This window comes from Homo sapiens, chromosome 2, assembly GCF_000001405.40.
Source record: "Homo sapiens chromosome 2, GRCh38.p14 Primary Assembly".
Lineage (NCBI taxonomy): Eukaryota > Metazoa > Chordata > Mammalia > Primates > Hominidae > Homo > Homo sapiens.
The window spans coordinates 10,735,275-10,758,244 of record NC_000002.12 but is presented as its reverse complement, the minus strand read 5'-3'; the positions used below and the strand labels follow the sequence as shown (position 1 = coordinate 10,758,244).

The 22,970-nt window shown below is 46.3% G+C and overlaps 1 protein-coding gene and 1 pseudogene across 14 annotated transcripts in view, besides 2 other annotated features; both read right to left on the bottom strand.

Annotated features, from left to right (window-relative positions):
- ATP6V1C2 (ATPase H+ transporting V1 subunit C2) overlaps positions 1–22,970 on the bottom strand; it is a 64,168-nt gene that overhangs the window by 26,866 nt on the left and 14,332 nt on the right. For 6 of the 14 annotated variants that reach the window (XR_922661.2, XM_047443858.1, NM_001410707.1 and 3 more), the window contains exons 4-5: positions 4,179–4,264; positions 789–818 (exon numbers count right to left, since the gene is read on the bottom strand). Coding sequence is in view for 10 of the 14 variants with exons in the window: in XM_047443858.1 (XP_047299814.1) it covers positions 789–818; positions 4,179–4,264 (116 nt within the window). In the remaining 4 variants the exon portion in view is untranslated. Of the gene's footprint in view, positions 1–788; positions 819–4,178; positions 4,265–22,970 lie in introns of those variants that run through there. The other 8 variants (XM_047443860.1, XM_017003745.3, NM_001039362.2 and 5 more) reach the window with 3 other exon arrangements.
- Positions 12,678–12,737: an enhancer, noted in NCBI's record as "active region_15311". NCBI's record gives its function as "activates an Ori minimal core promoter by ATAC-STARR-seq in GM12878 lymphoblastoid cells {active_cell/tissue: GM12878}" and the evidence as "EXISTENCE:reporter gene assay evidence [ECO:0000049][PMID:35858748]".
- On the bottom strand, positions 13,996–14,059 carry RNU7-138P (RNA, U7 small nuclear 138 pseudogene; annotated as a pseudogene).
- Positions 20,397–20,577: a silencer, noted in NCBI's record as "fragment chr2:10877794-10877974 (GRCh37/hg19 assembly coordinates)". NCBI's record gives its function as "represses an EF-1alpha promoter that drives an FKBP-Casp9 reporter gene in an ReSE screen in K562 erythroleukemia cells {active_cell/tissue: K562}" and the evidence as "EXISTENCE:reporter gene assay evidence [ECO:0000049][PMID:32094911]".

Below are 22,970 nucleotides of genomic sequence, written 5' to 3'. Positions count from 1 at the left end.
CTATTTTAATATAAGCTAAAGTTCCTCTGTTGTTTATGTAGAAAAGTAGTTCTCTACCTGAAGTCAGCCTTGCAGTCCCGGGCCCGAGGAGTGACCTTCTGAGAAATCAGACCCGCTTGGTCAACTTGACAAGGTAATTTTTTCTTAGCATCAGCAAAAAATCTCAGTGTGACAAACAAACTGCATTTGGGAAGGCATTTGATAACTGCCAATCTCTAAAGATTCTTATGCAACCTAAAATGATTTGCTATTTTTAATTCTACCAGTTTGAGCGGGTTGGGGAAAATCCAAAGCAAATGGCTCCCTCTAACATTCACACAAGGAAAGACCTGTTTGGGCACCGGGACTGCCCTGGAGGCTCCTTGTATGTCTGAACCCCATCAAGGCCACACAAAGTGAAGCCTGGAGTTTAAGGTTCCAGTGTCCATAAAACAGACGGGCTCAAAGAGCAGGCAGTCGGGACATCGTGTCAGGATCAAAACAAGAAGCAGACCACATGCAGAAAGAGACAGGAGTTCACCTTGAACTCCACAAGGTCAAAGCGTTCCCAGCTTCCAGGCGGCATGCAGTGCTGCCCAGGAGAGGCAGGGATGACAGGACAAAGAGGGGAGGGGATGAGATGGTGGTTATCTGTGTCATATGGATATTGTGACCAAGTTACAAGGTTGTTACTTGAGAAATCGTGGTAACTTGATCACTGTACCAATACAACCAGACCGAGATTCCACCTTCCCGGGACATGCGGGCATCACGCCAAGCACAGACACAGCAAACAATGCATAACCTACTCTTTAAACATTTCATTTTTCCTTTCAAGCCTGCAATATAATAAGGTGGAGTTATTAAGCCATATAGACATACAAAGCCAAGATCACAGGTGGGGTAGGAACATTTCCATATGTCAATTTAAACAGCCAAATAAAGTCTCCTCTGGCCGGGCGCGGTGGCTCACGCCTGTAATCCTAGCACTTTGGGAGGCCGAGGCTGGCGGATCACCTGAGGTCAGGAGTTCAAGACCAGCCCGGCCAGCGTGGAGAAACCCAGTCTGTACTAAAAATACAAAAATTAGCCATGTGTGGTGGCGGGTGCCTGTAATCCCAGCTACTCTGGAGGGCGAGGCAGGAGACTTGCTTGAACCTGATAGGCAGAGGTTGCGGTGAGCTGAGATCGCGCCACTGCACTCCAGCCTGGGTAACAGAGTGAGACTGTCTCAAAAAAAAAAAAAAAAAAAAAAAAAAAAAGTCTCCTCATGTTTTCAAGAGGGAAAACTATAAATATATGTTATATTTATAACAAATGATATAAATCTTATTATAAACATATAGTGTAAACAGTCATGCGTTGCTTCATGACAGGGATACATTCTGAGAAATGTGTCATTAGGAGATTTTTGTCACTGTGTGAACATCACAGAGGGCACTTACAAAAACCTAGGTGGTATCGCCTACTACACACCTAGGCTATCGCAACTGTAGCACATGGTAAGTATTTGTATATCTAAATATTTCTTTCTTTCTTTCTTTTTTTGAGACAGAGTTTCACTCTTGTCTCCTAGGCTGGAGTACAATGTGCGATCTCGGCTCACTGCAACCTCCGCCTCCCAGGTTCAAGCAATTCTTCTGCCTCAGCCTCCCAAGAAGCTGGGATTACAAGCGCCAGCCACCACACCCAGCTAATTTTTGTATTTTTAGTAGAGACAGTATTTCACCATGTTGGCCAGGCTGGTCTTGAACTCCTGACTTCGTGATCCATCTGCCTCAGCCTCCCAAAGTGCTGGGATTACAGGTGTGAGCCACTGCGCCCGGCAATATATCTAAATATTTCTAAACATGGAAAAGGTACAGTAAAAATACAGTATTATCTATTGTTGTTTTTTGTTTGTTTTGAGACAGAGTCTCACTCTGTCACCCAGGCTGGAATGCAATGGTGCGATCTCGGCTCACAGCAACCTCTGCCTCCCGGGTTCAAGCAATTCTCCTCCCCCAGCCTCCCAAGTAGCTGGGATTACAGGTGTGCACCACTACGCCCAGCTAATTTTTTCTGTATTTTTAGTAGAGATGGGGTTTCACCATGTTGGCTGGGCTGGTTTTGAACTCCTGACCTCAGGTGATCTGCCTGCCTCGGCCTCCTAAAGTGATGGGATTACAGGCGTGAGCCACCACACTGGCCCAGTATAATCTCTACTCTCATTTTCAATATATACGCATAGAATCATGTAAGTTTAATTATCTCTACAGATATTTAAACATTTAATTCTAAAGTTTCCAAAGTCTCAAAGGTTTTGCCTTGCACACTTTAAAGGCACTGAAATAGTATGCACACAGTTAATGGGCCAAAACATCACTGGAATCTAAAGGTTCGTCCCATCAGCACGAACGAGGCAGACATTCCCAACGTGACTGCACTGCAGGAAGCCTTCAGGGTGCAGCCTCTGTTCTTTTTACTGGACGGCAATTGAAGCCTGGCTGGAGGCCTTCCTCAGCACAGGAAGGCATTTCTCATACCTGATTTGGGCAAAGGGATAAATCGGTGAGGGTGAGGTGAGGAGGCAGAATTGCCCAGGTGGGGAGAGTGGTGGCTCTGGAGAGGGTGGAGGGGCAAACAGTAGGAGCCGGGCTGAGCTCCCTGGACCCTGTGTTTATCTGCAGCACTCTGAGGAGTTCACCAGCTGGTTAGAGTAGAGGCGGAACTGCAGAGCCATGAATTTATGAAGGGGAACAACTTCCAAACCTAGCAGTGCTGATGAGCTAAAAGCAGTGCACCAGCCAGGAACAGTGGCTCACACCTGGAATCCCAGCACTTTGGGAGGCCAAGGCAGGAGGATCGCTTGAGCCCAGGAGTTTAAGACCAGCCTGGGCGACATTGCGAGACCCCATCTCTACAAAAAATAAAAAATATTAGCCAGGTGTGGCCAGGCACGGTGGCTCACGCCTGTCATCCCAGCACTTTGGGAGACCAGGGCGGGCGGATCACCTGAGGTCAGGAGTTCGAGACCAGCCTGACCAACATGGAGAAACCCCGTCTCTACTAAAAATACAAAACTAGCTGGACATGGCGGCATATGCCTGTAATCCCAGCTACTCGGGAGGCTGAAGTGGGAGAATCACTTAAGCGCGGGAGAATCGCTTGAATCTGGGAGGGGGAGGTTGCGGTGAGCCGAGATTGTGCCATTGCACTCCAGCCTGGGCAACACGAGAAAAACTCCGTCTCAAAAAATATATCTATATATATTAGCCAGGTGTGTTGGTGAGCGAGAGGCTGAGGTGGGAGGACCCCTTGAGCCTGAGAGGTTAAGGCTGCAGTGAGCTATGATCACACCACTGCACTCCAGCCTGGGCAAGACCACGTCTCAGAAAATAATCATAATAGGCCGGGCGCGGTGGCTCACGCCTGTAATCCCAGCACTTTGGGAGGCCGAGGCGGGCGGACACAAGGTCAGGAGATCAAGACCATCCTGGCTAATATGGTGAAACCCCATCTCTATTAAAAACACACACACACAAAATTAGCTAGGTGTGGTGGCGGGCGCCTGTTGTCCCAGCTACTTGGGAGGCTGAGGCTGGAGAATGGCGTGAACCCAGAAGGCGGAGCTTGCAGTGAGCCGAGATTGCGCCACTGCATTCCATCCTGGGTGACAAGCGAGACTCCATCTCAAAAAAAAAGAAAAGAAAAGAAAAGAAAAGAAAAGAAAAGAAAAGAAAATTATCATAATAAAAATTGGCCGGGCATGGTAGCTCACGCCTGTAATCACAGTACTTTGGGAGGCTGAGGTGGGCAGATCACTTGAGGTTGGGAGCTTGAGGCCAGCCTGGCCAACATGGTGAAACTCCATCTCTACTAAAAATACAAAAATTAGCCAGGCGTGGCGGTGGGTGCCTGTAGTCCCAGCTACTCAGGAGGCTGAGACAGGAGAATCGCTTGAACCCGGGCGGCGGAGGTTGCAGTGAGCCAAGATTGCACCACACTCCAGCGTGGGCAACAGAGGGAGACTCTGTCTCAAAATAATAATAATATAAATAAATAAAAGCAAGTGCAGAGCCTCTGCCCAATGTGTCAATCCAGAGCATCCACTGAGACCTGGGCCATCTCGGTGATTGCTGTGTGGCCACAGCAAGGACGACTCTGGTCTAGAGGGAGCGGGGAGATTGTGCTCCACATCAGAGGGCCGCCCTACCTACCTCCGTTTGCCAGGAGGTGCTCCTGGACCTTCCCCTTTGAGTCCTCCATGACTTCCACCACGCTCTGAGCCATTCTCCTTATGAGGCTTTGGAGAGAGAAGAAAAAGAGCCGGTTAGAGTAGGAAGCTGTCCTCAAAATACTGTCACATGCTGCTGGCAGGAAAAGTAGCTGGTGACACCCTTTGGGGGAATAATTTGGCAAGATGTATGAAGAGGGTTAAAATGCCAATAGCGGCCGGGCACAGTGGGTCACACCTGTAATCCCATCCCAGCACTTTGGGAGGCCAAGGCAGGCGGATCACTAGGTCAAGAGATCGAGACCATCCTGGCCAACATGGTGAAACCCCGTCTCTACTAAAAATACAAAAATTAGCCAGGCATGGTGGTGGGCGCCGTAGTCCCAGCTACTTGGGAGGCCGAGGCAGGAGAATCGCTTGAACCCGGGAGGTGGAGGTTGCAGTGAGCCGAGATTGCACCACTGCACTCCAGCGTGGGTGACAGTGTAAGACCCCGTCTCAAAAAAAAAAAAAAAAATGCTAATAGCCTTTGAACCAGTAATTCCACTTCTGGGAAGCTATCTTAAGGAAATGGGACAAACAGAAAAAGCTTTCTGAATAAAACGATGTTCTTCACAGCACGCTGCTGACAGTAAAGAACTGGAGACAGCTGGAAGGTCCGACAATAAGGAATTGTTTAAGTAAATGATGGTATATCCAGCTGAGGGATTATTAGAGAGCCATTGAATATAAAGCTTCAAAGAATTCCTAATACTGTGGAACAAGGCGTGTATTATAATGTTGGAAAAATACCAAGATACAAACTCCTACAGGCAGTATGGGCACTGGCTATGACGACGTGAAAGTGTTTTTCCTACTTTACATATTTTCCAATTATAATCAGATATTGCTTTTACAATTAGAACATTAAAACTTTTTGTCTCTGAAAAACACACTGAAGGCTTCAGAAAGTACAGCATTTGAAGGCAAAAGGGCTCAAATTGGCCACAACTCTGCCAATTACCAAATGTAGGATTTTAGCCAATTTTTCTTTTTTTCTTTTGTTCTTTTTTTGGAGACAGAGTCTTGCTCTGTCACCCAGGCTGGAGTGTAGTGGTGCAATCTCGACTCACTGCAACCTCCGCCTCCCGGGTTCAAGTGATTCTCCCTCCTCAGCCTCCCAAGTAGCGGGGATTACAGAGGCCCACCACGACACCCAGCTAATTTTTGTATTTTTAGTAGAGACGGGGTTTTGCCATGTTGGCCAGGCTAGTCTCAAACTCCTGACCTCAAGTGATCCACCTGCCTTGGCCTCCCAAAGTGCTGGGATTACAGGTGTGAGCCATCGCACCCTGCCGATTTTAGCTAAATTGATGTAATTATTTTGAGCCTCCGTTCTATTACCTATAAAATGTGGATGATACTCATTTTACAGGATTATTATGAATATTGACATAACCAATCATCTGGTAGCAAGGAGAGTCTGCTCCAGAAGGCTAAGCCATTAGAACTCCAGTTGGAAAACAAGTCAAACTAGGATCAAAGTCTGAAAGTTATGATGATCCAAATCATTGCCTCAGGCTCTCTCTCCACATTCTCCCCGCCCTCAGGAGGGAGGTGGTGTTTGCAGGAGGAGCGGACTCAAGTCACTGAATCCTACATGGAGTACAAGGTCTTCCACTGCTGCAGACGCTGGCCACCCCAGCCACTCAGACCGGAGCCCAGAGGCCTAGGGCCCAACACAGAAAACAGAGGCAGGGACACGGGACACCCTGATAAAAGCAAAGGAAGGAGGCAGAGGTAGCAACTTGCTTTCCTGACTCCCAGAGTCATGTGTTTATGGTCAAGAATGGAAAAATACAAGTATAAAGTAGTTAACAAAAATTGAACAACCATACTCCCCCACCCAAGAGGGAACACATTTCATATTCTGGCATATTTCCAAAGGCTTAACACTTGCATGGTTTATGTGAGTTAAGGTTTTTTTGTTGTTGTTGTTTTTTTTTTGAGGCAGGATGTCACTCTGTCACCCAGGTAGGATGGGAATACAGTGGTATGATCACAGCTCATTGCAGCCTTGACCTCCCAGACTCAGGTGATCCTCCACCTCATTTCTAAATTTTTTTGTAGAGACAAGGTCTTACTATATTGCCTAAGCTGGTCTCGAACTCCGGGGCTAAAGCGATCCTCAGGCCTCAGCCTCCCAAAGTGCTGAGATTACAGGCATGAGTCACTGCGCCCAGCCAGACAGAGTTAAGGTCTTCTTTTGATATCACCTATTATTTAGTGGAGTCGAGCAAGTATCAAACATTCTATAATCATTGCCTCATTTAATCCTCGTAAAAATTCCCAAAAGTTGGGTATCATCTCATTTTACAGATGGAGAAACTGAGGCCCAGAGAAGTAATGTGCCCCATCCCTTCCAACCATCCAGTCGTTATGTGGACTCCAAAAGTGAGGCTCTCGGCCACCAGGCCACACTGCTATCTTTACCGTCACTGTAGCCCATCCTGGGATTAAATCTCCATCCGTGCGATGGCATTTCTTAGAACAGTAGTTAATAGCGTCTTACTGATTATAACCTCAGGTAAGTTACCTAACTAATCTCAGTTTTGTCTGTAAAATGTTTTTACATTTTTACAGTTTTCAGCTGTAAAATGGGGATGATACTCCTTATCTCACAGGATTCTTCATGGAGTTTGGTGCCTGATACCATTGTGAGGTATCAGAGTCTGCAAGAGACACCTTGAGATATGCTCTAGGCAACCTGGGTGGACTGTTTTGGGTTCTCTGCCCCATGACTCCTGGGTAGATTTGGCAGGAGATCAGAAGGAGGGAGAGTCTGGTTCCCTCCCAGTTCCAGTGACCTCAATCCTCTTGTCCCTGCCAGCCTAGGGGTTGTGACAATGTCTCTCCACCAGCCTGGGTTCCTGTGATTCTCCTATAGCCCACACATAACTCTGTCTCCCTATAATGAGCCTCTCCTCAAATTATCTCTGGCATAATTTGCAAGTGCATCTTCTGTTATCTGTTGGGACCCTGACTCCATAAATTCATTGGTTCATTTGTTTAGCAAATTTCATATATCAAACAACTACTATGCACCAAGCACTAACAACTACTATGTACCAAGCACTAACAACTACTATGCGCCAAGCACTAACAACTACTATGCGCCAAGCACTGTTCTAAAATGTCATGGACAAAACAAAGTCCCTGCTCTTTCGGAGCTCCTATTTTAATGCTACCAACGGTTCCTCTTTTATCCTCACAGCGACCTGTGGGAGTTGCTGTCTCCTATCACCACATCCCCTATAATATTTTGAGTAGTTATTTGTTTACATAAATCCAGCACCTACCACAGTGCCTGACTCACAGCAGCTGCTCAGCAATGTCTGCCGAATGAATCAATGAATTCTGGCACCCCTACTTGTTTCTGTCCTAACAGACCTAAAAAGAGAACTCACTCATCATTTTGCTAATGACTGTTTAGTGCTCCTTGTCCTAGCCTCTGTGAAGGTTTTGTTTTGTTTTTTTTTTTTGCTTTTCGTTTTTGAGACAGGGTCTCACCCTGTCGCCCAGGCTGGAGTGCAGTGGTGCTATCTCGGCTTACTGCAACTTCCACCTTCCAGGTTCAAGTGATCCTTCTGCCTCAGCCTCCTGAGTAGCTGGACTACAGGCACCCGTCACCATGCCCTGCTAATTTTTGTATTTTTGGTAGAGACAGGATTGCACCATGCTGCCCAGCCTGGTCTCAAACCCCTGAGCTCAAGCAATCCACCTGCCTCGGCCTCCCAAAGTGCTGAGATTACAGGCATGAGCCATCACACGTGCCCTTCTGTGAAGTCTTTAACTACATAGAATTGTGGCCCTTAGGCATATACATGACACCAGAAACGTCTCAGAATAACATGGTCTATGAAGTTCTACTGCTAGAAAAAGCCCTGGTTCCACATAACGCAAACAGCCCTGACTTAGCTGTGATCATTAACGATGGTCATCAGTGAATTGCAGTATTACTTAATCAGAAAATTTTTCTCATTGAAAGGGAACTAAGAGTCTAGATACTGTGTTAAATGTACTTTTTTCACTCCACAGTTTGTTGTGAACACCTTTTCACGGGAGAAGACTGGTTCCTCATTCCTTTCATTTACTGTACTGTATTTCATTTCATAGCTGTATCATAACAAATTCTCTACTATTGGACATTTGAGTTATTGTCACTTTGATATGGCGTCACAATAATACACACATTTTGCTCACTTGTGCAGGTATAGATAAAAAATAAGTTGCCTGGATCAGAAAACTGAACTTTGTTAAAAAACAAATAAATACATTTTTAAAAAGAAAAGTGCATTTAAAAAGAAAAAATAAGTTGCTAAGGAAGCAACTTCTGGAATTAAGAATATGAACATTTACAGTTTTAACAAGCAAGACTAAACTACCCTACACATGTACAAAGTCAGTATACACTCACACCTCAGTGTATGAGACTGTCTGCTTCCCTAAACCCTTGCCAACACAGGTATTATGAATCTTTTTAATCTCTGCCAATCTGATGTCTGAAAAATTATATCTCGTTGTTGCTTTGATTTGCATTTCTTTGATCATCAGTGAGGCTGGACATCTTTTCTCATGTTTGACTCTATAAAAGGCTATTTTCTTCTTCTGTGGATAGCATGTTCATATATTTTGCCGGCTTTTTACTGGCTTGTTCATTTAAAAAAAACTTTTTTTTGGTAGGGCCAGGGTCTTGCTATGTTGCCCAGACCGGTCTTGAACTCCTGGCCTCAAGTGATCCTCCTGCCTCGGCTTCCCAAAGTGCTAAGATTACAGGCATGAGCCACCATACCCAGCCTCTTTTAAAAAATTTTATTTGTTGATATATATAATTTTTTAGGTGTTTTGAAGACTCCATTCTTTTTTTTTTTTTTTTTTTTGAGACGGAGTTTTGCTCTTGTTGTCCAGGCGGGAATACAATGGTGTGATCTCGGCTCACTGCAACCTCCATCTCCCGGGTTCAAGTGATTCTCCTGCCTCAGCTTCCCTGGTAGCTGGGATTACAGGTGTCTGCCACCATGCTCAGCTAAGTTTTTGTATTTTTAGTAGAGACAGGGTGTCACCATGTTGGCCAGGCTGGTCTTGAACTCCTGACCTCAGGCAATCCACCCACTCGGCCGCCCAAAGTGCTGGGATTACAGGCATGTGCCACCGTGTCCAGCCAGAAGACTCCATTCTTGAGAAAAAGTTTTGAGCTAAGTGACATTCCCATTTTAGAGATGAAAAAAATTAAGACTCAGAGAGCTAAAGGTCACCCTACACAGTAAACTAGGGTAGAAGCAGAAATTGATCATAAATCTACACTTCTCCAAGGCCCATGGAAATTAGCTCTTCCATGTTTGTCTAAAGTAAACTCTGGCAGCTTTATGTAAAATGCCAGGAAAAAAATTTATATTAACCCATAAAAGATGGACAAACCATATTTTTAATTAAAAAAGCACTGTAAACAATATATAAAGACCTTGATTGGGATGTTGGTTACACTGATGGATGATACTTATTTGTCTAAACTCTCCAGCCTGTTCACTTAAGATGAGTACATTTCACTGTATCTTTTACCTTGTTTAAAAAAAAAAATTTAAGCAGATACTGCCTTAGTCAAGTGACCAAAGTTAACATCATACACATGGAAAAGACCAATGCTGTGTGCCTCCTGCAACGCACTGAGGAAAACAACATCACTTGTGCAGTGTTTTGCCAAAACTGCATAACCTCCGTCTAGCCATGAGGAAGCAGCACGAGTTCAAATTAAGGAGCATATTACAAAATAACTGACCTAAACACTTAAAAAACTCAGAGCCATCAAGGTCAAAAAGACTGGGTGCAGTGGCTCACACCTGTAATCCCAGCACTTTGGGAGGCCAAGGCAAGTGGACCACGAGGTCAGGAGTTCGAGACCACCCAGGCCAACATGGCTAAACCCCATCTCTACTAAAAATACAAAAATTAGCCGGGCGTAGTGGTGCATGCCTGTAATACCAGCTACTCTAAACCCTAAACTCTTCCAGGTTTAGGCTGGAAAGCTTTGAGGCTGAGGCAGGAAAATTGCTTGAGCCTGGGAGGCAGAGGTTGCAGTGAGCCAAGATTGTGCCACTGCACTCCAGCCTGGGTAACAAAGCGAGACACCATCTCAAAAAAAGAAAAAGAAAAAGAAAAAAAAAGTCAAAAAGTCTGTATAAGTGTTCCAGTTTAAATAAGGCTAAAGAGACATGACAATTTATGACAGAAGACAGGAAGCCATCTCAGTTTTTATTATTATCTGAGAAAATATGACATTTTATTTTGGTAGAAAGTGTGCTTTTTTTTTTTGTTTCAAAGAGATGGTGTCTTGCTGTGTGGTCCAGACTGGTCTCAAACTCCTGGCCTTAAGTGATCCTCCCACCTCAGCCTTCTGAGTAGCTGAGACTACAGAAATGTGCCACTGTCCCCAGCTTAGAAAGCACACTATTGAGACAAGCGGTGATATCCAAGTGAAATCTGTAGACCGAGTACCAGTATTGCATTCCTGATTTTGATCATCATACTAAAGTTATATAAGAGGATGTCCTTATTTTTAAGAAATACACCCTAAAGTTTTTAGAGGTAAAGGAATATCATGTCTGTAACTTACTGTTGAAGAAGTTCAGAGTTCAGAAAGAGAGACAGAAAAGACAGAAGCAGAGACAAAAACAGAGAGAAAGCAGATGTGGTAAAAGTATATGAAAAGTATGAGAATTCTTTTCTTTTTTTTCTTTCTTTTTTTGAGACTGAGTTTCACTCTTGTTGCCCAAGCTTGAGTGCAATGGTGTGATCTCGGCTCACTGCAACCTCCACCTCCCGGGTTCAAGCAATTCTCCTGCCTCAGCCTCCCGAGTAGCTGGGATTACAGGCATGCACCACCATGACTGGCTAATTTTGTATTTTTAGTAGAGGCGGGGTTTCTTCATGTTGGTCAGGCTGGTCTGGAACTCACAACCTCAAGTGATCCACCTGCCCTGGCCTCCCAAAGCGCTGGGATTGCAGGCGCAAGCCACCGCACCTGGCTGAGAATTCTTTTCATTGTCTTTCATATTTTCTGGAAACTTGAAATTGGTTCAAAATAAAGCATTTAGGCATGTAAAGCATATAACCCCACTTAAAAAATTATGTCAGTATATACCTAAATAAGAATCCTAAAAGAAAAGAAACCAAACTGTTGACACTGGCTATTATCTTCATGGATACAAGAATGGAGACCTGCAATTTCCATGAATTTATGTAATGCTATGTTTTAATTTGTTAAAAACATATTACTTTTGCAAATAGAAAATAAAAGAAACTACGGTTGGGCGGGGTGGCTCATGTCTGTAACCCCAGCACTTTGGAAGGCCGAGGCGGGTGGATCATGAGGTCAAGAGATCAAGATCATCCTGGTCGACATGGTGAAACCACATCTCACTAAAAATACAGAAACTAGCCTGGCGTGCTGGTGGGCGCCTGTAATCCCAGCTACTTCGGAGGCTGAGGCACGAGAATTGCTTGAACCTGGGAGGTGGAGGTTGCAGTGGACTGAGATTGGGCCCCTGCATTCCAGCATGGGTGACAGAGGGAGACTCTGTCTCAAAAAAAAGAAAAAAGAAGAAGAAAAAAAAAAGGAAATAAGAGAAACTGAAAATAAAATAGTAAATCATAACAAAATAAATAATAAATAACTAATAAAAATAAACATAGCGGCATTATTAACAATAGCCAAGGCTGGGCTCAGTGGCTCACACCTGTAATCCCAGCATGTTGGGAGGCCAAGGTGGGCAGATCACTTGAGGTCAGGAGTTTGAGAACAGCCTGGCCCACATGGTGAAACCTCATCTCTACTAAAAATACAAAAATTAGCCGGGTGTGGTGGCACACACCTGTAGTTCCAGCTACTCGGGAGGCTGAGGCAGGAGAATTGCTTAAACCCAGGAGGTGGAGGTCACAAACTCCATCTCAAAAACAAACAAACAAAAATAACCAAAAGGTGGGAGCGACCCAAGCATCCATCAATAGCTGAGTGGATACATAGAATGTGGTGTGTCCATACGATGCGGCACTAGTCAGCCTTAAAAGGAAGGGAATTCTGACATGCTGTAAGACATTGAAGACATCATGCTGAGTAAAATAAGCCAGGCAGAAAAGGTCAAACACTATATGATTTCATTCATAGGAGGTACGTAAAATAGCCTAATTCATACAGAGAGAAAGTAGAAAGGTAGTTGCCAGGGCCTGGGGGAGGAGGAAAGGAGGAGTCACTGTTTAATGAATACAGTTTCAGTTCTTCAAAATGGAAAAAGTCCTGTGGGTGGAGGGTGGTGACGGTTGTAACAGCAGTGTGAACGTACTTAACGCCACTGAACTGTACACTTAAAAATGGTTGGCCGGGCGTGGTGGCTCATGCCTGTAAACCCAGCACTTTAGGAGGCAGAGGTAGGTGGATCACTTGAGATCAGGAATTTGAGACCAGCCTGGCCAACATGGTGAAAACCCGTCTCTACTTAAAATACAAAAATTACCAGGGTGTGTAGTCCCAGCTACTTGGGAGGCTGAGGCAGGAGAATCACTTGAATCAGGGAGGTGGAGGTTGCAGTGAGTTGAGATGGTGCCACTGCACTCCAGCCTGGGCGACAGAGTGAGACTCTGTCTAAAGAAAAAAAAAAACGGTTAAAAAGGTAACAAATAGGCTGGGCACAGTGGCTCATGCCTATAATCCCTGCACTTTGGGAGGTTGAGGTGGGTGGATCACCTGAGGTCAAGAGTTTGAGACGAGCCTGGCCAACATGGTGAAACCCCATCTCTCCTAAAAATACAAAAAAATTAGCTGGGTGTGGTGGCAGGCATCCAGATACTCGGGAGGCTGAGGCAGGAGAATTGCTTGAACCCGGGAGGCAAGGTTGCAATGAACCGAGATTGTGCCATTGCACTCCAGCCTGGGCAACAGGAATGAAATTCCGTCTCAGAAAAAAAAAAAAAAAAAAGAAAATAAATAAACAAATGGTAATAAATGATAAAAATACATTTTAAAGTAATAAACCCATATTCTTAAAAATAGGCCGGGTGCGATGGCTCATGCTTGTAATCCCAGCACTTTGGGAGGCTGAGGCGGGCAGATCACGAGGTCAAGAGATTGAGGCCATCCTGGCCAACATGGTGAAACCCCATCTCTACAAAAAATACAAAAAAATCAGCTGGGCGTGGTGGCGCACGCCTGTAGTCCCAGCTACTCGGGAGGCAGAGGCAGGAGAATTGCTTGAACCCAGGAGGCAGAGGTTGCAGTGAGCCGAGATCACGCCACTGCACTCCAGCCTGGCAACAGAGTGAGACTCTGTCTCAAAAAAAAAAAAAAAAAAGAAAAAGAGAAAAAAAAACCCATCAAGCATGGGGACAATTATTGTAACAGTGAGACCTGTTTATGTAGTTCAAGTGTCAGATACTAGAATTTCCCCTTACGTAGTTCAAGTGTCAGATACTAGAATTTCCCCAAGTTAAACATCTGCAGCATTAAAGGTGAGGAGGCCTGGTCAAATGCTCGTCTATAGGTTCACAGAAGAGCATCAACAAATAGCTCATAAGCGTGAGGAAGAAAGCTCAACCTCACTTGCACAGGAATATCTTTTACACCAATTAGTTCAGTGTATAAAGAAAACTCCTAATACAGCATTGGCAGTCCTTGGGGAAACAGGAGCATCAACGCACTGCTGAGATGAGGTGTTGATTGGTACAGCCTCACTAGAGAGTAATTTTAGAGTATCTATCAAACATTTGCAGGCAAGGGTTGGTTCTGGTGAAAACCAGAAAACCTCCTAGACAAATTCTAAAAAAGCTGTATTGTTTCCTTCGAGACAGGGTCGCACTCTGTCACCCAGGCTGCAGTGCAATGGCGTTACATGGCCCGCTGCAGCCTCAAACTCCTGTGCTCAAGGGACCTTCCTACCTTAGCCTCCCAGGTAGCTGGGACTGCAGGCACACACCACCATGCCTGGTTAAATTTTATTTATTTATTTATTTATTTATTATTATTATTTTTTTTTTTTTTTTGAGACTGAATCTCGCTGTTGCCCAGGCTAGGGTGCAGTGGTACAATCTTGGCTCACTGCAACCTCCGCCTCCGGGTTCCAGCTATTCTCCTGCCTCAGCCTCTCGAGTAGCTGGGATTATAGGTGCCCGCCATCATGCCTGGCTAATTTTTGTATTTTTAGTAAAGATGGGGTTTCACCATGTTAGCCAGGCTGGTCTTGAGCTCCTGACCTCAAGTGATCCACCCACCTCGGCCTCCCAAAGTGCTGGGATTACAGGCGTGAGCCACCTCGCCCGGTCTAATTTATTATTATTATTATTTGTACAGACAGGGCGTCCCTATGGTGCCTAAGCTAGTTTCCAACTCCTGGGCTCAAGCCATCCTTCTGCCTTGGCCTCCCTAGTGCTGGGATTACAGGTGTGAGCCATTGAACTTCCAGAAATGTATTCTTCTGCTATACTGGCTCATGTGCTACAAACACCATATTTTGTGGCAGAATGGTTTGTAATTACAAAAGACAGGAAGCCATTTCAATGTTTGTCAACTAGGGACCCATCTGATATAATGGACCACCAAGAAGTCTCTAAAACAGAATGAGATCAGGTGTGGTGGCTCACACCTGTAATCCCAGCACTTTGGGAGGCCAAGACAGGAGGATCACTTGAGCCCAGGAGTTCGAGATCAGCTTGAGCAACATAGCGAGACCCTGTATCTACCAAATAAATAAATATATATATAAATAAATATTAGCCATGGGTAGTGGGGTGTGCCTGTAGTCCCAGCAACTCAGGAGGGTGAGGCTGGTTGCAGTGAGGAGTGATTGAATCACTGCAGTCCAGCCTGGGCAACAGAGTGAGACCCTGTTTCAAAAAACAAAAAGTCAATCATGGTAATTCAAATAGACAAAGCAGTGAGTAAATAAAGGAGTAAGACAGAGGCGTGCTACTCAGGCCCAGCCCCTTACCTCGATAGTCATCTGGGGAATCCCCAAGGGAAGAAATTGGGTAAGATGGAGTGGGAGGAGTGGGGGGCATTGCCCAGGTGTGAGGCAGGGCAGGTAGGGACTGGAGGCCTTTGGGTGCTGGGCAGGCAGCCTCCAGACACGGGCAAGCTGCGGTGGGGGATCAGGCGAGAAGGGGCCGCCCAGGAGCTTCACAAATCTGCCTGTGGCAGGTCTGTACCGAACGTGCCCTTTCCTTCCTTTCCACAAACACTACGGGGGCACCTCTTAGCCCTGCTGATTTCTAAACCCTGGACCCCAAGGCGTTCAGGGGTGGTAGAATGGCCCTGGGGTAGAGGATGGCTGAAGGGCTTCTATCCCAACGGTGAGGGGGGCTCCTGAGATCTGTCTCCTCTTCTTCCGCACCCACAGCCAGGACATTCCTGCCATGCAGGGCCCCCAGGACTCTTCCAGTCCAGGGGTATGGGGAGAGGAGCAGCCGGCGGGTGCCTAGAAGCCTTGCACCCCAGCAGGAGGGCTGGAATTGGAGGTGAATACTTGAGGCTGCAGATCGCAGGGCCCGAGCAGAGGAGATTCTTATGTAGCCTTAAGACACAGTGTCTCCAGGGTTTCTGCCCTGCAAACTGCACAGGCCGCTCCCTTCTTTGTAGAAGGAAGGGTTGGGTCTCCCACCTCCAGCTCTCCCGCTGAGGAGTAGTGGATACAGGTTCTGAGGATCCTGAGGGCAAGTCTATGCAACACCAAAGAGAAGGCTTTCTCCCTCCCTGGATTTTCTGGAAAATTCTAGCAAACGCAGGATAGAGTTGTTTGGTTGTCAGAAATTACCCAGAAAGGCCAGCGTGGTGACTCACGCCTATAATCCCAGCACTTTGGGAGGCCGAGGTGGGCAGATCGCCTGAGGTCAGGAGTTGGAGACCAGACTGGACAACATGGCCAAACCCTGTCTCTACTAAAAATATAAAAATTAGCTGGGTGTGGTGGTGCGTGCCTGTAATCCCAGCTACTCGGGAGGCTGAGGCAGGAGAACCACTTGAGCCCGGGAAGCGAGATTGCAGCGAGCCAAGATCATGCCATTGCACTCCAGCCTAAGCCACAGGGCGAGACTCCATGGAAGGAAGGAAGGAAGGAAGGAAGGAAGGAAGGAAGGAGGGAAGGAGGGAGGGAGGGAGGAACCCAGATGCCTGGGAAGAGCGCAACCAGGTTACACGGCAGGATCGGAGGGAGGGCATCTGGGAGCTTCTCTTTGCCCCCAGAAAACCACTAAGGATTTATATCTGAATGCTCCACACACAAAGCCAAGGCCCTTAGAGCTGAGGAAATGGAGTGCACAGAGGCCCAGAAGCTTGCCCCAGGTCACTTCACTGGTGGCCACATGTCAGCTGGTCCTGACCCCCAGCCTTCCCCTAAAGCCAGTCTCCATCCGTGAAAGCAGGTGCTAGCATGCCCGCTCTGGATAACCCAAAACCCCAGGCCCGCCAGTGCCCGGCCACTGTCAGAGTACCTTGATGAGAGGGGCCACCTGCCCTAGCCTCACTCCTGCAGCCACACAAGAGGGGCCCCCACACCTGAGAGGGGAGGCCCAGAAGCTTCCAGGGGGACCCTGTGTTCCCTGCCTCCCCTGGTGACTCAGGAGCCCCTGGGCACCTCACCCCATCCTTTGTCTCTCTACTTCCTCCTCCACCAAGGGACAATGAAATCGTCATGCCCTGCAGCAAAGTCACCAGGAAAATGTGACTCCACAGCAATTAAGTGATTTTCTTTTCACAAAAACAAAGGTCCAGTGAGGCTCACTAGGAGGCTCCCCCTGGGGACTCTGGACACAGACACACCATGCTTTAAATTCCAACTTGGCTTCACAGAAACTGGAAGTTTAAATAACGAGCTGATCTTTAGCTCTTTAGAGGGGCTCCCCTCTGCATACAGTTGTGTAGAGCCACCCAGCAAAGTTACTCTTGTCACTAAGAACGGAATTCTCATTGGCCAAGCTGGCATTATAGAGTCACCCACATGCGGTCCAGACAGTAATGCTCTACCCTCTTCAAAAAGCCAATTTCAGCTGGGTGTGGTGGCTCACGCCTGTAATCCCAGCACTTTGGGAGGCCAAGGCGGGCGGATCACCTGAGGTCGGGAGTTTGAGACCAGCCTGGCCAACATGGTGAAACCCCGTCTCTACTAAAAATGCAAAAATTAGCCGGGCCTGGTGGCACACATCTATAATCCCAGCTACTTGGGAGGCTGAGGCAGCAGAATCACTTGAACCTGGGAGGCAGAGGTTGCAGTGAGCTGACACAGCGCCACTGCACTCCAGCCTGGGCGACAAGAGTGAGATTTGGTCTCAAAAAATGAAAAAGAAAGTTTTCCCCTTGGAAGGAACAGGTAAGGAGGACCTGAACTCAGCTCCCAGAGAAGTGTTGCTGAAATCCCCTGGGGCCTACAGTCTTTTAGGAATCACTGGGCAATCCCCCAAGCATTTGGGATAGAAAGAAACATCACACATTGAAGTTCTGGAGACTATGCCAAAAAGTCAATCCACCAAGCAGCTTAGCCACTGAGAACAATTGCAGGTCCTTCATGCTCTCGGAGCAGAGTTCCAGCACATACAAAGTGAAGGGCTTCCCCTGGAGTTGTGCAACCTGCAGCCCAGCCCAGGGGATGCAGGAGCAAGGCCAGGAACAGCGCAGTCACACAAATAGGAGTACAATGGCTGATAAGCTCTTGAAAATATGTTTACTCTCACTGGAAATCCAAGAAATGCACATTAAAACAATCACACATCATCCTGCCAGGTACACGAACCAAGCTTCTTAAAAGCACTTGGTTCTTTTAACTTCTTCTAACTTCATTGGAAAACAAGTTAGTAGTATATACAAACAGCTTTCAATATGTCTATATCCATTTTACCAGTAATTCCACTTCTGGGCATGCAACTTTCTTTTCTTTTTTTTTTTTTTTTGAGATGGAGTCTCACTCTGTCACTCAGGCTGGAGTGCAGAGGCGTGATCTCAGCTCACTGCAACCTCTGCCTCCTGGGTTTAAGTGATTCTCCTGCCTCAGCCTCCCAAGCTTGCCCACCACCAAGCCCAGCGAATTTTTTTGTATTTTTAGTAGAGACGAGGTTTCACCATGTTGGCCAGGCTGGTCTTGAACTCCTAACCTCAAGTGATCCGCCCGCCTCGGCCTCCTAAACTGCTGGGATTACAGGCATGAGCCACTGTGCCCGACCATTGGTAAAGTTTTATTTAAACATCTCCATGCAACTTTAAAATAATCAAAAATTTACACAATGAGTTATGCAAGGATATTAATTACAAAATTAATACCCCCAAAAAGGCAAAGATAACTTATACAGTGGGCTTTAATAGTGGGCTGTGGAATGCAGATAATTAAAACGGGGTCACCTAGAGGGACCGGGCTGGCTGGTAGTCTGGAGAAGTCTTCTGGGTGAGCAGTCTTCTGGGATCGGGTCGATAAGAAGCAGCCTGCCCTGCTAGGCTGGGGTGGTGGGTGGGGGGTCTTCCAGGCATAGGACCAAGGCAGGATGGAGCCAGGGTGGCTGGAGAGGAGTACCCTGGGGCCTGACCAGCTAGTCAGGAAGTCTAGCTAGGGGTCAGGAAGTCTAGCTAGTCAGGAAGCTAGGGGTCTGGAAGTGAGGGTCGCAAGTAAGAATTTTACATCGAGGGCACAGAAAAGCCATGGAGGGTTTCATGCAGGAGAGCCATGTGATACAGTGCTTTTATTTATTTATTTATTTATTTTTGAGACGGAGTTTTGCTCTTATTGCCCAGGCTGGAGTGCCATGGCGAGATCTCGGCTCACCGCAACCTCCGTCTCCCGGGTTCAAGCGATTCTCCTGCCTCAGCCTCCCGAGTAGCTGGGATTGCAGGCATGCGCCACAATGCCCAGCTAATTTTTTCTATTTTTAGTAGAGATGGGGTTTCTCCATGTTGGTCAGGCTGGTCTCCAACTTCCGACCCCAGGTGATCTGTGATAGGGTGCTTTTAAAAAGATCACTCTGGCTGCTGTGGGGCAAATGAATGAAAGGGAAACGGGAGACAACTGAGTCTGTTGCAAAAACACAGGAACGCAATGAAGGTGGCTTCGATGGACGTGCTGAGAAGTGGGTGGATACGGGACAGATTTTGGAGGTGGAGCCCACAGGACTCCGTCCTTACTGGCGTCTCCTGTGGAGGGCTGGACAGGGAGCTGGTGCCCAGACTGTCTGCTTGAGCACCAGGCGCTTAAGTCACTGGAGCCTTTGACTGAGATGGGAACGAACCCTAGGCAGAAGGCTGCACAAATGGAAGCTGTTGAGAATGATACCAACTTTGGACATGAAGCTAATGCAAAAAGAACATCCAAAAAGGACCATGGGAGGTTGCCCCTGAAGCTCGTGAAAATAAGGAACGTCCAAATGGCTGCCATTTACTGGGGCTGCGATGAGCACCAACACGGTGTTAAGTGAAAAAGGCCTTGCTGAGACCTGGGGAACAATGGAGCCGTGGGTCCCTGAAGGACCGGGGCAGGGTCCAAGATGGAAATGCCTTACATTAAATTTAACCTCCAAAGAATGATTTCGGGATTTCACAACATTGCCTCGAGCTGACCCTTACTCCCGCATGTTGTACCTAAAGTGGCCAGCCAACATTCCTTCCTCCCCTGCTGGCTGGACTTCTGGTTTGATAAGAGCTGCTGGGAGCTGGGGGAAGCCTGGCAGATACTGGAGACCATCCCAGCTGGGCCTAAACTGAAAATCAAGGCAGGGGAGGCAAAGGAGAGCTACTGCCACCTGTGAGGGGCCTACCACAGAGCAAGGACAGACCAGGCAGTCAGGATGACCAGGTGAAGGCCTGACACTAGGCAGCTACATGATCTAACACAAATGTCTTAACTCTTCAAACAACAATATTCTCATTTATCCATCCATGGCAGTTACCAAAATAGAGATGTGACAAACCATCAGGCAGCACGGAATTCAAGACAATATACTGCACACAGAAGCGCTAGAGAGGAACAAAGGGGCAGCCTTCGAGGAGTTGTAACTGTCATAGATGGCCAGGCGCCGGGGCTCACACCTGTAATTTCGGCATTTTGGGAGGCCAAGGCAGGATCACTTGAGGTCAGGAGTTCGAGACCAACCTGGCCAATGTGGCAAAACCCCATCTGTACTAAAAATATAAAAAATAGCTGGGCCTGGTGGTGGGTGCCTGTAGTCCCAGCTACTCAGGAGGCTGAGGCAGGAGAATCGCTTGAACCCGGAAGGCAAAGGTTGCAGTGAGCCGAGAGAGATTGCGCCACTTCACTCCAGCCTGGGCGACAGAGTGAGACTGTGTCTCCAAAAACAAACAAACAAACTGTCACAGACCTTTCTGTATCCCGTAAGGGCAGCAAAGCGCCTAAAGTATAAAAACATGAAATAGCAAATATGACATTCATTGATAGTGTTGCTCCAATAGACGTTTATCAATGCTACGCAATGAAAACAAGAGAACACACCCATTTCAGACACCCATGAAACACTTAGAAAAATAGGCAATATATTAGGTCACAAAGAAAATTTCAAATTCCCAAAGGTCAGAATAGCACCTAATTCATTTTCTTTCTTTTTCCTTTTTTTTTTTTTTTGAGACAGAGTCTCACTCGCCCAGGCTGGAGTACAGTGGCGTGATCTCCGCTCACTGCACCTCCCGGGTTCAAGCCATGCTCCAGCCTCAGCCTCCCTAGTAGCTGGGATTATAAGCACCCACCACCACACCTGGTTAATCTTTTTTTTTTTTTTTTTTGTATTTTTAGTAGAGATGGGGTTTTGCCATGTTGGCCAGGCTGGTCTCGAACTCCTGGCCTCAAGTGATCCTCCCACCTCAGCCTCCCAAAGTGCTGGAATTACAGGCATGAGCCACCACACCTGGCCAACTTAATTCATTTTCTAACAAAGCAACAGAATTAGAAATGAAAAACAAAAACAAAAATAAAAGAATTTAAAAATTGCAGAATTGACTGAGGACAGCGGTTCATGCCTATAAACCCAGCACTTTGGGAGGCCAAGGTGGGAGGACTCCTTGAGCCTAGTAGTTCAAGACTAGTCTAGGCAACATAGTGAAACCCTCGTCCCTATAAAAAATATAAACTATTAGTTGTGCATGGTGGTGTTCACCTGTAATCCCAGCTACTCAAGAGTCTGAGGCAGGAGGATGGCTTGAGCCCAGGAGTTCGAGCTTGTCAGAAAAAAAAAAAAAAAAAAAGCACAATATCTAGGAAAAAAATAATGAAAATACCACATATCAAAATTTAAATTATATAACACTCAGAGAAAACTTCATTGCTGTTAGCATTACAGAACTAAACAAAAAAAAATGAACTAAGCATGTAACTAAGCATGTTTTACAGAAAAGAGCAAGAAAATAAACCCAAATGAAGAGGAAGGAAAAGATGATAAATGCAGAAGTTAAACTATTAGAAATCAGAAAAATTATAAAATTGATCAATGTATTAAAAAGTTGTTTCTCTTAAAAGCAAACTAGGTAAACCACTGGGTAGCCTAATCAAAGAAAATGCAAATACTAAAAAATGGGGGATGCATAGATACAATATATAGGTAGACTCTATTCAAATAACTTGAAAGAGTTCATGAAACTAATGATTTTCTAGCAAAATGCAATTTGCGAATCTACTCCTCCTCCAAAGAGAAAACTAACAGAGCAACAGTACTGAAAAATTTTGTGAATATTATTAAAGAACTACTAAAAACGTACCAGGTCCAAACATGTCATAATGACATATTTAAAACCTTCTAGAAACAGATCACCTCATTACCATTCAAAGCAGCTATCCTCAAAGCACAGTGGCAGGGCCCGCAGCATCAGTATCACCTGGGAACTCGTAGAAATGCAGGTTCTCAGGCCCCAACTCAGACCTCCTGAATCACAGATTCTCGGGGTGGAGACCAGTGATGTATTTTTAACAAACCTTCAGGATGATTCTGATGCATACTCAAGTTTGAGAGCCGTGAGTTAACGTGTTCAGCCTTAGTATGCCAAATGTGGTCTTCAGGCCAGCAACACCAGCATCACTGGGGAGCTTGCAAGAAATGCAGAATCCTGGCTCCAGCCCAGATCCACTGAGTCAGAATCTGCATTTTGTCAAGGTCTCCAGGAGGGCCTGGCACAGTGGCTCATGCCTATAATCCTAGTACTTTGGGAGGCCATGGTCAGCGGTATCATTTGAGCCCAGGAGTTTGAGACCAGCCTGGGCAACATAAAGAGACCCCCATCTCTACAAAAGAGAAATGAAAAAAAAAAAATTAGCCAGGCATAGTGGCACACTCCTGTAGGAGGCTGAGGCAGGAGGATGGCTTGAGCCCAGGAGTTCAAGGCTGCAGTGAGCTGTGATCATGACTAACACTAGCATGGGTGACAGAGCAAGATCCTTTCTCAAAAAAAGAGAGAAAAAAAAAAAAAAGACCAGGAGATTTGTTCACATGTCCAAATTTGATAATAATTCTCTAGAGCTCCAGCCCAAAGCTGTGCATAGAAATATAATTCAAGCCACGTGGGTAATTAAAAAATGTCTAAGGCTGGGCGTGGCAGTTCACACCTGTAATCCCAGCACTTGGGGAGGCCGACGGGGTGGGCAGATCACATGAGGTCAGGAGTTCAAGACCAGCCTGGCCAACATGGTGAAACCTCATCTCCACTAAAAACACAAAAATTAGCTGGGCCTGGTGGCACACGCCTGTAATCCCAGCTACTTGGGAGGCTGAGGCAGGAGAT